Genomic DNA, 14,930 nt, shown 5'->3' with positions numbered 1-14,930 from the left:
AAGAAATTTGTCTTTTTTTTTTTTTTTTTTCTTTTTTTGAGCTAGAGTCTCACTCTGTCACCCAGGCTGGAGTGCAATGGCACAGTCTCGGCTCACTGCAACCCCGGGCCTCCCGGGTTCAAGTGATTCTCCTGCCTCAGCCTCCCGAGTAGCTGGGACTACAGGCACTTGCCACCACACCTGGCTAATTTTTTTTATTTTTAGTAGAGACAGGGTTTTGCCATGTTAGCCAGGCTGGTCTCGAACTCCTGACCTCGTGATCTGCCCGCCTTGGTCTCCCAAAGTGCTGGGATTATAGGCGTGAGCCACCACACCCAGCCAGAAATTTGTCTTAATGGAATAGTTTTGTGAAAAAAGACATAAGAAGCCGAGAACGGTGATGTACACCTGTGATCCCAGCTACCTGGGAAGCCAAGGTGGGTGGATTGCTTGAGGTCAGGAGTTCGAGACCAGCCTGGCCAACATGGTGAAACCCCGTCTCTCTACTAAAAATAAAAATAAAAAAATTAGCTGGGCATGGTGGTGCACGCCTGTAATCCTAGCTACCTGGGAGGCTGAGGTGGGAGGACTGCTTGAACCCAGGAGGTGGAGGTTGCAGTGAGCCGAGATCACACCACTGCACTCCAGCCTGGGCAACAGAATGAGACTCCACCTCAAAAAAAAAAAAAAAAAAAAAAGACATGGGAGAAATACGTGAAGCAACAAGATAACCCCAACATTGTCACAAACCTAAACCAAGCAGCTGATGATTATACCTGCTGCTGGGATAGGCATGGCCCTGCCCTAATGGAATGTTCCTGACACACTCATTGCCTGGCTACATCTACCCCGACATGATGCACCTGAAAATTCCAAGTAGTTTATATAATATTATAGATTAAATGGGAAAGCTACACCTTCATAAGACATGGAAAGTACTGCAAGTACTTATCATGCCTACTAGAGAGACAGACCCACAAACCAGGCACTGGAGGGGAAACTAAGACCAGTCATGACGGCCCTTAAGCACCTAAGCTCCATGACAGCTTCATTCCCCAGTGGCTTCTCACAGGCTTCAGAAGTTCAAAGGTGACCCTCCAGGCTCCACGCAAGCTCACCTTGCCTGCCTCTCCCATCCCATTACCATCACCTTCCACCCAGCCAGGCTCAACTCCTAGCATTTCCCAGGTTATGCCAAGAGCGTTCCAGGTGTCTCTGCACCTGTGGTTCTCAGCCTGAAGCTGCTTTCTTCCTTGATCTATGCTGGCAAACTCACACCTTCCCTATGGCTCTGCACCAGGGACTGCCCTCTGGGAAGTCTTCCTTCGTCCACCATCCTGACTTAGGCGTCCCTGCTCTGTGGTCCCGAAGCAATCTCTACCAGCCCCGGCCACTGCTCTAGATGTTCCTTACAGGCTACCCAGAGTATCCACCACTCATGTGAAGAGCCTTGAGTGCATGGATCGGGTCTTTCAGCTGTACCCCAGTAACCATTGCCCATCAGGGGCACAGCAAGAACTCAACTGGTGATGGTTGAGAAACAACGGAAAATCAGAACTGGGTACTGGGACAAAATCTACGAAAAGCACCTCATCCTTCTGTACTGCTTGAATTGATCAGGTGCATCAAGTATATGTAAATAAGTAAATGCAAACGATCTTCCTGGGAATGAGTTCCTTACATAACTTTTCCACACCAGAAATTCTTCCCACCCTTGGGCATGGATACAGTACAGATACACTAGCTCCCATTTGCAAAACTAAGCCTGTTTTCTCTTCCTCTTCAAACTCTTTTAACAATTCAAAAAACCAGAAAGGCAACTCCCCACTGTATTAACTTAGTGCCTTCTATCATTTTGCCTCTCTCCCCAGAGCCTAGTCCAGATCACTTTCCAACAGGCCAGCATTCTTCAATAGCACCCCAGAAGTCAGCTGTACTTGTCAAAACCAGAGTTTTCTACATTCCAGAGTTCCAAGCAGGTCTCCAAAACTAAATTATAGCTGTCTTCTTTAACTGAGTCTAGCAATGAGTGCCTTCTAGCTTAGAAGGTTTCTTAAGAAAACCTTTTTTATTCAGACAATCTTATCAATCAGAAAATCTCAGAAACTCATCTCTTCATTGTATTTTTCAATAATAATCTTGCGAAGAAACCATATATTGTTTGAAAAGGCATTAACTCTTAAATATCAGGCATTTTTAAGGCTTTACCCATCTCTTTTTCTTCTGAAATGTTTTAATGTTATTTATTCTTCTCTGAGTTCTTCACTCAAGTTTCTTGCAGTACTTATTAAAAATTATAGTCATTAGCTTTAAGATATAGGTTAAGTGGGTGGCAAGTAAGAATCACAAGGTTCTAAATTTTAAAAATGTCTAGTTGAAGAAAAATGCCAAGACTTATCACAATATGGAAATTACTATCCAGTTATGATGAAAAGTGATGAAGTTTTAGGAATGTGTTTTAAACAAACTTTTGAATTGGATTTTTATTTTAGAGGCCTGTTTGTTACTAAAAATCAACCAAAGGTGGAGGCAGTGGAGGTGGGGGGCAGGATGGAGCATGTCAGAGCCAACCTGAAAAAGCTCCCAGAAGCCAAAGCTGGAACAATTTGAGCAACAAAATAGCAAGAGTATTGGATTATAACCTAAAAGACAAAATAAATATCCAAAAGCCCATACTGATGAAAATGAATGACTGAATAAGTAAATGGGGGAAAAATGGACAAATGTTCCTTAGAGAAGAATTCCAAATAATACAGGTAGAGGAACGAGGGAAATAGAAAGTCACATTTTTATGCCACATAACAGATGCTGCAGACAACAGCCAAGGATGAACCTGAAAATTAGTGGGCAAAACTCTAAGGAGAAACAGGGTATTTGCAGAGTCTCAAACTATCTTCTCCAAATTACTTATTAATTACCGTGGTGCCTTTAAGAGTCCAAAAATTCCTTGATACTCTTTTCTCCAGGAGGTGAAGCTTGATTCCCCTGTCCTTGAGTGTGGTCTCAACTTAGTGGTTCATTTATCACTTATAAGGAGCAGGGGATGAAAACGGAAAACTAGAGGCCAGGTGCTGTAGCTCACACCTGTAATCCTAGCACTTTGGGAAGCCAAGGCAGGAGGATTGTTTGAGGCCAGGAGTTCAATAATAGCCTGGGCAACAGAGCGAAACCCCACCTCTACAAAAAAAATTTTAATTAGCTGGGTGTGGTGGCATGCACCTCTAGTCCCAGCTACTCAGAAGGCTGAGGCGAGAGGATCACCTAAGTCAAGGAGTTTGAGGCTGCAGTGAGCTGTGATCGTGCCACTGCACTCCAGCCTGGGCAACACAGCAAGCCCATCTCCAAAAAAAAAAATAAATAAATAAATAAAAAACTTGAAACTTTATCAAAGAGAAAGCTGCCAGATATCACCTAGTCAAGTGATGAAGGTCAATATCAGCAGTAATAAGTCATGTTGAGATCATGAGATATAATGATATGCTCTAATGAGGGGGCCACTTTACCTCTGTGGTCCTCTTCCCACCAATCTCTGTTCCAGAGACAGGGTCTTGTTCTGTGGCCCAGGATGGAGTGCAGTGGTGCGATCACAGCTCACTGCAATCTCAAACTCCGGGGCTCACGCAATCCTCCCACCTCAGCCTCCTGAGTAGCTGGGACTATAGGTGTGTGCCACCACACCCAGCTAATATCTCTTCCTAAAAATCTACAACCCCAGTCCAATCATAAGAGAACAGACAAATTCAAATTAAATGCACTACAAAATATGTAATCAGTAGGCTAAAAAAGTGTCAAGGTCATGAAAAACAAGGAAAGACGAAGAAAGTACCAGGAAGGGGAGACTAAGGAGACAAATGGAGAATAAGGAAACAGGATGATCAAGTGCAACAGAATGCAATGGAATCTTGGATTTGATCCTGAAACAAACAAAAAGGACATTAGTAGAAAAACTGATGTAATCTAATTAAAGGCTGTAGTTTATCACATTGTACCTATGTTTAATTTCTTCTGACAAATGTACTGTGGTCATGCAAGATTAACATCAGAAGTAGCTGGGTTAAGCGCATACAGGAACTCTTCATATAATCTTTATGTGCTTCTATGGATCTAAAATTTTTTCAAAATTAAAAGTTTTTTAAAAGTCAATCTGGCCAGGTGCAGTGGCTCACACCTATAATCCCAGCACTTTGGGAGGCCAAGGCAGGTGAATCACCTGAGGTCAGGAGTTCAAGACCAGCCTGGCCAACATGGTGAAACCCCGTGTCTACTAAAATTACAAAAAATTAGTCAGGCGTGGTGGTGCACACCTGTAGTCCCAGCTACCTGGCAGGCTAAGGCAGGAGAATCGCTTGAACCCAGGAGGCAGAGGTTGCAGTGAGCCGAGATCATGCCATTGCACTCCAGCCTGGGAGACAGAGCAAGACTCCATCACCAAAAAAAAAAAAAAAGTCAATCTATCTGTTATTCCTAATAGGACAAACTGCTGATATTCCACCTAAATACCATTATGGACTTATGAACATGAGACAGGAATGTGTGTATCAGGATAATTTCTTAGTAATTCTTAGCTTTGAAATTTTTTATCAATTTGATGTCCCTGTGGTTGTCATACAGACCAAATATATAAGATAATGCCTTTCTTCCTATGAAAAACTTTGGTTTTTCTTAGTAATCTACTTATATATTATTATCTTCATATGTTTATATAATGTATCTATACATCACAATGCCATGTGTGACTTTAAGTGTTCTTTTGAAAAATAATTAAGAAATGTAAGTGAAGAGGGATAAAAATGTTTTAATTGTTGAAATACATTGGTGAATTGAGTAACTTACATTGCAATACTAAGTAGATACACAAGTCATTATCAAATTAATTTCCAGATATCCCACTAACCATCCATCGCAAGTCCTTGAAAAGTTATAGAAATAATATGATGAGATTGTCGTGATGTAGAATGAGCAACCCAAACAGCTATGAAGTATTTGTAGTTGCACATGCCTTTCACGAAAGAAAATAAAAATGTAATCAAAATGTGCATATGGCATGCAAATTTGAGTTTATTTTTAAATAGTGCAATGAAATACACATTGTTCCTAAAAAAGGAAATTCTGACATTTAAATGAAATTTGAAAACCAAATAGTAAGAAATGGAAAGAGATAGTTGTAAGAATCCATTTACCAATTTTACAGCTAAAAATTAAAGTGAAGTAGAAATAGCAAAAGATAACAGACAAATATATTATTTTAGGTCATTAATTTATAGTGCCTTATCATCTTAAGTTATAAATAGAATAAGGATTTTGTTATATAAAAACTATCAAAAAAGTATCAGTGAAAAGACATGACCTCCATGAAATGTGCTGAGTGGCCAGGGTGGAAATGTTGTCAAAATGCAGCGGCCCTGGCTGGGCAACAACAGCCTCCATGACAGTTTGTTAACTTGTCTTTCGTAGGTGGCCACAGAAAGTTCCATAAACAAGTGTACTGTTTAACCAATTCCCTTCTATTACCACAACAATATGTACCCAGGGTTTTATGTATACACTTAAGATTTGGGGGAATGCAAAAGGGAAGGGTGACTGTTTAGAATTTCCTTGGAAATGTCTGTGCACATTACAACGTCCCACGGAGCCAAATTCCTTCCAAACTGATGAGCAAGCTAAGGAGACAACAGAAGAGGAGAAAAGAGTGAGCAAACAGGTACAACTTAGGTTAAAAAATGTATTAGCCTTAAGCCTACAAGTTATTTACTTTCTTTTAAGTAAAACACCTATTTAATATTCACCCAATATTAATTTAAGACTTAGGTGGCCAGTGTAGAGCCAAGCATTGATGATAATTATATAAAGAGGCAAAGTTGGGTAGGAAAAGAGACTTACAAACTTACAATTAAAATACATCTTGATAAGCAATGCCCAAACCTAGCTGCATGTATATTAACATCATCCAAATTAAAAATAGAGACTGTTCGGTCACAATTCCATCCCTTCCCCACTTGGTCCAAACCTCCTGGGAGAGCCTAGGCCTCCACATTACATGGCACTCCCCCACGGGATTCTGATGCAGCCAGGCCATCCATTGTCATCTGAGCACCATCACTTAAGCCCCTCTGTGCTGGAAGTAGTCTGCACATCTAAGTGGGCATAACTTTCAGCCTAGGGTCATCTGCAGAAGAAACTACACATCTGCATCCTGACATAAGTAATTTTAAGGGATTCTGAAATCATTCCTCAATTTGTTTCAAAATCAACCAAACCAAATCAACTTTGAACTTTGGTCACTGAGTGCATTTAGTTCAGAGAGTCTACATGTTAGGTAAAAAACAAACAAACAACAACAACAACAAAAGTGTCTCCAATTCTTTCCATGAAACATCTCTTTTCTAAAGTCATCTCATCAGGGTTTCTGCCCAACAACTAAGGCCTAGAAAGCCATGAGTTCAGACATGTCACAGGTAAGGACCACAATGGATGCTTAGCATCTAAGGAAAATGGGCAGCCTATCAACTTAGAAAACTTTTCAGATAATTCAAAGGAGGCTACAGAAAGACCAGGATCAAACTAATTGTTTAGAGACAGCTAAACATCGCATGTTCTCACTCATAAGTGGGAGCTGAACCATGAGAATACATGGACACAGGGAGGGGAACATCACACAGCGGGGCCTGTTCAGGGGTTGGGGGAAAGGGGAGGGAGAGCATTAGGACAAATACCTAATACATGTGCGGCTTAAAACCTAGATGATGGGTTGATAGGTGCAGCAAACCACCATGGCACATGTTTACCTATGTAACAAGCCTGCACGTTCAGCACATGTATCCCAGAACTTAAAGTAAAATAAAAATAAAAATAAGTAAAATAAATAAAATGTAAGGGTAATAGAAAAAAAAGAAAGAGTTAAAGAATGGGGAAAGTTGAGGAGAGAGAGGGGTGCAATAAAATACGATAAATTTACAGCCATGAACAGTAAGAAATGTTTTAGCTAGCTGCCTAAAATTATATGAGCTTGCTCACCAGGATTATGCTAAAGTGTTAGTGGCAAACTTCAGATCCACCCACAAGGGTGAGCAATCATCGTGTCTAACACTCCCATGAGAAAACTGTGGTTGAGACAAGCTGAGGGAAGTTAAGGGATTCGTCTTAGGTCTGTGTTGGTAGCAGAGCTGCCCAGTCTCCTGATAGCTATGTAGACAGCACCTCTTTCCACTCTATTTCTATGCTTTTTGAAATACATTCTGTTTCCAGGAGGGTAAACAGCAGTATATTCTTGGTTTCAACTTATCTTTTCTATTTGATACAAATAATAAAAGTACTTCTGCACAGGAGAAAACTAGCGGAGAACTCAGAAATCTATATGGAGGGCTAGAACTATGTTAAAAATACTAGAAATAGAAACTCTCCAGTGACCTCCCAAGAAGAAACCGAATACCCTCTGTTCATGGGTACGAGGGGATAAAACTCCAAAATGTTGCCTTGATGAGCAAATCTTCAAAGAAGTAGCTACCCACAGATTGTTCTAGTTCTTGTCAGGAAGAAACTGGTTACAGTTTCTGCGTCTCCTTTCTCTAGCAGGTAAGTTTGTTTGTCTCTACCTGTGAAATTAGTCTGTAATCCCACCCCATCCCAAACAGCAAATCCAGTACTGGCCCTGGGCAAGAAGTTGGTTCAGTATCAAATCAGTCTTGCTTTTGGTCTGCCAACGGTTAGATTCTGGTTATCAAAAAAAATTAATAGTATGGTGGTGATGACGATGATGATAGCAGATGCTAACATTTATTTCATATTTAATCCTAACAACAACTCTTCAGTCTAAGTATTGGCTCCATTTTTCAGATAACAAAACTGAGGTCATAAAGGGGAAGGAACGTGCCCAGCTAGTAAATGAGAGCCTGAATTCATAACCAAGGCAACCTGACTTCCAGAATAGAACAGGCTATCTCAGGAGATAGGACGTTCCTAATCACTGGAGGCCTCAAAAGAGGTTGGGTGTCATTCACCAGGAGTGAAATACAGTGGAGAGCCCAGCATGGAATGTGTTGTTGGACCCTTGGTGGACCCAGTGAACTAAGATTCTTTGTCTGTATGGAAATGCTGCTCCATGTCTTTTAAAGACTGGTATGTAGGGTAGTTAACAAATGAAAGCTATTTTTCTCTTGTCGTTGTTCTTGTTTCTTATTATAATTCTAACTCCTAGCTCTTTGCCATGTCCATACTGAACGTGTTTTGTAAAACCAATCTGTTAACTTATTCTCTGATTCTTACTATTCCTTCCTGCATAACTACATCTCTGTTCAGTTAGATTAGAATCAATATTAAGTGTTTGGGACTTAATTGACCGATTGCCCATCTCTACTGGAGTTCTGGTACTGACACATCTCCTCTCTGTATATTAACCACTGGCTAATACCACTTAAAATCGATTCTAATCTAATCCCCAGTTCTAGCCTCTCTGGTCTCTCCCTGTCATTTCTCAAGTCCTAGGCCCTCAAAGATTTCTGCAATGAAGAAGGGTGAGATCTCAATGTTTTAGGGAGACACTTAGCTTGCTCTTATTAAATAAATATTCATTTTTAACAAAATGAAATGAAAAAAGTAGCTGAAAGAAAATTGATCTGATTATTCACCTCTATGCAATAAAACACACTCAATTCCATAGGATGAAACCCCTCCTTTAAATTGTAAAGTTCAAGATTTCTTAGAAATTTTTTATAGAGCAAATAATATCTACAGTCCATTCATCAATAAGTCTAAATATATAGAATTATTTAGAAAAATATACAGCACCTCTTGATTCTTGAGTCATGATGTTATTTTCTTCTAATCTTAAAGAGAAAATTAAGAAAAGTTAAATGTTCAGATTATAAATAGCATATTCTAATTTTCTATAGAACATTAAACAGTAATGACATACATGTATTTGCTAGTCTAAATCACAAAGTACAGAAAGAACAATGAGGAACAAATATAGTATGTTCAAAATAATGTAATACAGCCTTGTGTATAAAGCAAACATGTTAATAGTCATTTAAAACTATACATCAGACAATACATTGTACAGTGGTTTTATAAATCAGCATTGTTTACCATGAGCCTCGCTTAAAAATTGCCTTGAGCAAGAAGATATCTATCAGTCAAAAGGACTTCATTGGCCCCATAATTGCTAACTATTAAAACTCAGAAAATGAAGCCTCATTTCATTTAATTATACAATAGGCAATTATTTTTCCTTTAAACAGCAGATTGCTTATCAGTCAGTCATCTTATATTACAGAAATTTACCTTTCTGTTCTATGAAAATGCCATAAACTTACATAAATATTAGCTTTCATTTTCACACTGATCATTGCTAAAATTAACAAGAAATTAAAAATATGGAGCATAACCACAAATAAAAGCTAAATTATGCTCTGGAATTCTTCTTACCATGTGGGTGGCTATTTCAACCAATGACTGCAATGAACAGACAGTACTTATACATGGTTCACTGCAACCAATACATAGGTTGAGTCGAGTAAGCTGAAATATAAATTTCATGCTTTTTCATAAAACATAAAAATAAATAATTAGGGAAAATCAACAGCACATGATTTCACTTACTTTTCCGAACCGTCTTTGTTTGACTGGACACCATATTGACAGCTTCAGATGGTAGGCCAACATATACTCCTCCATAGTTTCTTGATAAAAAGAAATCAAACCAATTTAAATGGTACTATCTATTTACAGGAAGCAACAGAAGCACGGAGTACTCCAAACAATTATATAATTATTAAAATAACTCATGATTTTTCAAAAGTAGAATCTAGAATATTATGGCCCTTGGGAATATAATTGGTTTCCTAGGTTAAAAAGAAGCTATTTTTTTTAAAAAAAAGAAAGATGTATTGCGTTAGTAGAATTTTTAGATATTTTACTTGTAATGAGAAAGAAGAAAAGACTTTGGGATGTTACAATTTATTAGAGTATTAAATATCATACAGTGACATGTTACAGTTAACATTTATCAATAATTCAGAGTGGTCAACATGGTATGATATTAGGCATTATGGACACACAAAGATATCTTACTAATAGAGAGATACAAAATGAGGGCAGAGACAGCAAGAGAGAAATGAGGGTGGAGTGCAGTTAATCAGAGAAGTAGGAGGACAGGGAAGGCTGAGAGAATGAAGGGAAGTCATCCAGTTAGGGAGAAGAGCACACCCAAAGGTCATAGGATGAAAATTAGCACACGCCACATGCATAGGACAAAAACCAAGTTTGCTTGGAAGGAGCAAAGATGATGAATCCTGGGCAAGTTCTTTTTCAGACCATATGCCCCTACCTGTATTCTCTGTGCCAACAGTTTTCCTGGCAGAATCTGTGTTATTGGGAATATGCTACAGTGTGTTAAATCCATGAGGTATGGCCAAAACCATTCAAACTAAAGCCAGCTGCAATACCAAACATACCTCCTCTTGTCATCTTCTGTTACGGATTCTTCTGTTCTAAAAGGTCAGAAACATTTGCTATGAGACACTTGGTTACATAGTCGGGGACTTCATTTTTGGTTATGAGAAAAAGGGACTACTGAGTTGAAGTCAATTTTATTTCAAATGTTTCCATCAGACTTAAGTAGAGGAGCAAAACTATCCATCAAGTGTTTCTGTGACAATATTCTGCCTTCACCTCAATCATTCATACGTTAAAACTTGGTAATTTTCTACAAACCAAAATGTGTGAATCCAGCAAATGCCAAAATGCACAACTGCCAAATGAAATGGAAAACTGAGGGCAGCTGAAATTGGAAAGAAGCCTGAGTTATCGTCTTGTGTGTACCACCCACTCCCTGTGTGACAGACAGGCTGTGGGCGAGCTGCCAGCCTGTGTCTCATTTGTAAAATAAGCTGGTTGACCAGATGACCCCTCAGGTCTCTTCCAGTCCTAATACATGGTTTTAGATCTCTTATGACACTTCAGTGGCACAACTATAGGTACTGAAAGACTTCTTCAGTGCAAAAAGAGTTAATGCCTATTTGATTTTTTTTTATCTAAAAACATGAGCCATTTCATACATGATCTACTGCAAAGAGAGGGAGAAATATTTAAAAGGATACATTTAGAGGGGATCACTACTTTAAAATGCACAGCTTCTCTCCTTGCATTAAGAGGAATCCAAGCTGGACATGGTGGCTCATGCCTGTAATACCAGCACTTTGGGAGGCCGAGGCGGGCGGATCACCTGAGGTCAGGAGTTCGAGACCAGCTTGGCCAACATGCTGAAACCCCATCTCTACTAAAAATACAAAAATTAGCCAGGCATGGTGACGCCTGTAGTCCCAGCTACTCAAGAGGCTGAGGCACAGGAATCCTTGAACCCGGGAGGTGGAGGTTGCAGTGAGCAGAGATCACGCCATTACACTCCAGCTTGGGCAACAGAGGGATACTTGGTCTCAAAAAAAAAAAAAAAAAAAAAAGGAGTCCATATTCTACCAGAATTCCTTGGCGTATTTCTAAGAGAATCAGGACACTTTCCTTGAAGCACTAGTTGGCATACATAAGTTGCTTTTCTGAAAGAAAAAAAAAATAATTCAACAAGATTCCAATGTATCTGGCTGAATTCAACTTGTAACACTAAGGGGCTTCAGTTGAGCAAAAAGCAGACTGCAAACATCTAAATGTCATTGACTCTTCTGATTCAGAGATTGTCTAACTATGATTTTACCCACTTAAAAGCTGTGAATATTTCAAATGTGACTGTATATGTGCATGAGATTTTTGCTTTATTGCAACAGCCAGTAAGTCCAAGTCTATAAAGAAGGAAAGTGTAGATTTAATAATTATCTGGTGAACGCTGGCCATGAACAGCTAATACTGGAAGAGAGTGCAAAATCCATCTTGAGACCTAATTCATCCAAACTGAGCATATAACCTAAATTCACTAGATGGTTATCAGCTTCATTTACCTCTTAACGCTGGATTGTTTTTTTAGTTCAAGTGTCAAAGTCATACTAATGGTGTTATGCTTATTGATGTGGTATAAGAGAGAGTTGTTCACTACTTTTAATTAAAATGGATTTATAATCCTTTAGCATAGATAATGGAGAAATGATGAGGACAAACTCGTTCAAGGTAAGTTCTGATAAGAACTGTTTACTTTGGTCCTGAGTGATTAACTTTCTCAAGAAATCACTTGAATCTGTATATAACTGGTAGCTTATGACACACATTTCCGGCCATGACTATTCTTTTCACATCCATTTACATATCCGTTTATTTTAATTCTTTCCCCTTTTGCTTAACTGTGCTTAAGGATATATTCAAGGTTTTAAAATATATTTTCACTTTCCCAAATGTAAGAAAATAGTCATTTACTTTCTCCTGTTAAATTACTCAATATCTTAAAACTCAATCTGTGTTCTCCATTATAAAATTAATCAACAACCTTACATGTATAACTGGCAGGAAATGATAATGTAGTTGCCATATTTATTGGATAATAAATTAAGCTTCAGATATAATGCCAAATCTTAAAAAAAATACTACCTATAAAGACTTATAAGATGTCCACTCTTTTTTTTTTTTTTAATTAAGACAGAGTCTTGCTCTGTCACCAGCCTGGAGTGCAGTGGCACAATCTCGGCTCCCTGCAACCTCTGACTCCCTGGTTCAAGTGATTCTCCTGCCTCAGCCTCCCGAGTAGCTGGGATTCCAGGCCCGTGCCACCATGCTCAGCTAATTTTTGTATTTTTAGTAGAGACGAGGTTTCAACATGTTGGCCAGGATGGTCTTGATCTCCTGACCTCGTGATCCTCCCACCTCGGCCTCCCAAAGTGCTGGGATTACAGGCTGAGCCACCCCGCCCGGCCAGATATCCACTCTTTTAAACCTTCCAGTAAGTTGTAAAGCCTGTCTTTGCATACTCACTCCCATGTATAAGACTGTCACTTCATCCATTCCTTCCACAAACAGTTATTCTACAACACTAGGACTAGAGACCAGGACTCCGTGGGTATAATGGTGTCATTCATGAGTCTCTCCTGTGTGTCAGGCACAGTGCAGGACACTGCACGTGCATCCATGCTATTCCTCACAACAGCTCTGAGGGCCTAGGCCTGAGGAACCAGGTGCAGAAAGCCATGTAATTCATAAACATACAAGACTAACAAGCATGACCAACATCCATACCCCATCCATCTGGCACCAAAGCCATGCTCCATTCTCATTCACCACTCTGCTTCTCAGGTAGAAAGATGTAAAAGTCAAAAACACTTCCTGTGAAAGACCAACGTAGTGGCTTCTCCTAAAGTGGGCGATTCACCTCCATACTGCTTTTGCAAAAGCTTTGACCATCATCCCATCTCTCAACCTGATTGTGTAACTATACTAGGCACTTTGCTAATCCTATTATATTAGTTCATTTAATCCTTATACAATCTTGCAAGACCAGTACTACTCACATTTTAAAAATGAAAAAACTGAGTAGCATGACCGAACTTACGAAGCTAAATCATAGAGCCAGAATTCAAACCCAGATTTGTGTGATCCTAATTCCTGCTTCATACACTGTAGGCCCATGCTAATTTGCATTAGAGAAACATGCACCTTCCCGCAGCTGGAGCTCTCCAATTTTTTTTTTTTTTTTTTTGAGACGGAGTCTTGCTCTGTCACCCAGGCTGGAGTGCAGTGGCGCGATCTCAGCTCACTGCAAGCTCCGCCTCCCAGGTTCACGCCATTCTCCTGCCTCAGCCTCCTGAGTAGCTGGGACTACAGGCACCCGCCACCACACCCGGCTAATTTTTTGTATTTTTAGTAGACAGGAGGTTTCACCATGTTAGCCAGGATGGTCTCAATCTCCTGACCTCATGATCCACCCGCCTCAGCCTCCCAAAGGAGCTCTCCAAATTTTTTTTTTTTTTTTTTTTTTTTTGAGACGGAGTCTCGCTCTGTCGCCCAGGCTGGAGTGCAGTGGCGGGATCTCGGCTCACTGCAAGCTCCGCCTCCCGGGTTCACGCCATTCTCCTGCCTCAGCCTCCCAAGTAGCTGGGACTACAGGCGCCCGCCACACGCCCGGCTAATTTTTTGTATTTTTAGTAGAGACGGGGTTTCACCGTTTTAGCCAGGATGGTCTCGATCTCCTGACCTCGTGATCCGCCCGCCTCGGCCTCCCAAAGTGCTGGGATTACAGGCGTGAGCCACCGCGCCCGGCCAGGAGCTCTCCAATTTTTATCATCCCACTCAAGAAAAGTCAGAAACAAGATTGTAGAAGAGTCCTAGTCTGTTTCATCAGCATGAGAAACAACCTCTAACTGCTGCCAGGGACCATCAATCTTCGCAGATCTTGTCAAATTGCCACATAAGTCATTTTTATGCAGGTACAAAGGTTGTTCTGATGAGCAGTTACATTAGAATCTATTCATCTGGACAACCAGGTCCAGACTAAGGTTAAATCAGAAAGCGGTGGTTGGTCTAAACCAACTCTTCCTGCGGAAGGATAGGTCCAAGCCCTTGTGTTGAGCTGCCTGGGGAGAGAACCAAATGCTGTCCTGCCAGTGTTCAAAGGGACACAGCATCCTACCTGTTGGGGTGGTGTGGTCCTGCCCCACCTGCACAAGCTTTAGCGTAAGGAAGAAAAATGGGTCAATACACAGCAATAAAGACCCCTGGTAAAAGGAAGGCCCAGACATGTTAAGCCAAAGCTCCTGACAGGCCAATGCGATTGCCTCAGGTTATTAGGTTTTTAGGCTCCATAGTCTAAAAAGTCTAAAAAGCACACCTTCTGGTGGGGGGACTCATTTCCCTAAAGGTCGTTTTTTTGGTAAGAGAAGTGGCTGTTCAAAACTGGGATGTTAAATTTATTTTATCACTCAACACTTTTACAAGAAACTTTAAGTCTTTGGGATTTGAATCCTTGTTCTCAATTTCTCAAGTGTTGAATAATGCCCCAGCTATCCAAACAACAGGGCTGCCCC

At 40.2% G+C, this 14,930-nt stretch overlaps 1 protein-coding gene and 1 long non-coding RNA gene across 2 annotated transcripts in view; both read right to left on the bottom strand.

Moving 5' to 3' along the window:
• LOC105369957 (uncharacterized) overlaps nt 1–4,159 on the bottom strand; it is a 40,769-nt gene extending 36,610 nt beyond the window's left edge. Inside the window, exon 1 of the long non-coding RNA XR_945302.3 lies at nt 3,806–4,159. This is a non-coding gene — a long non-coding RNA (uncharacterized LOC105369957). The remainder of the gene's footprint in view (nt 1–3,805) is intronic.
• A 595-nt stretch (nt 4,160–4,754) lies between these two features.
• Nucleotides 4,755–14,930, bottom strand: part of C12orf75 (chromosome 12 open reading frame 75) — a 40,828-nt gene continuing 30,652 nt past the window's right edge. Inside the window, exons 3-6 of the mRNA NM_001145199.2 lie at nt 10,431–10,466; nt 9,577–9,656; nt 8,764–8,801; nt 4,755–5,639 (exon numbers count right to left, since the gene is read on the bottom strand). Of these exons, the coding sequence (NP_001138671.1) occupies nt 8,797–8,801; nt 9,577–9,656; nt 10,431–10,466 (121 nt within the window). The 3' untranslated portion in view covers nt 4,755–5,639; nt 8,764–8,796. The remainder of the gene's footprint in view (nt 5,640–8,763; nt 8,802–9,576; nt 9,657–10,430; nt 10,467–14,930) is intronic.

The sequence above is a fragment of the Homo sapiens genome, chromosome 12 (assembly GCF_000001405.40).
Source record: "Homo sapiens chromosome 12, GRCh38.p14 Primary Assembly".
Lineage (NCBI taxonomy): Eukaryota > Metazoa > Chordata > Mammalia > Primates > Hominidae > Homo > Homo sapiens.
The sequence above is the reverse complement of the archived record's forward strand: the minus strand, read 5'-3'. Positions and strand labels throughout refer to the sequence as shown.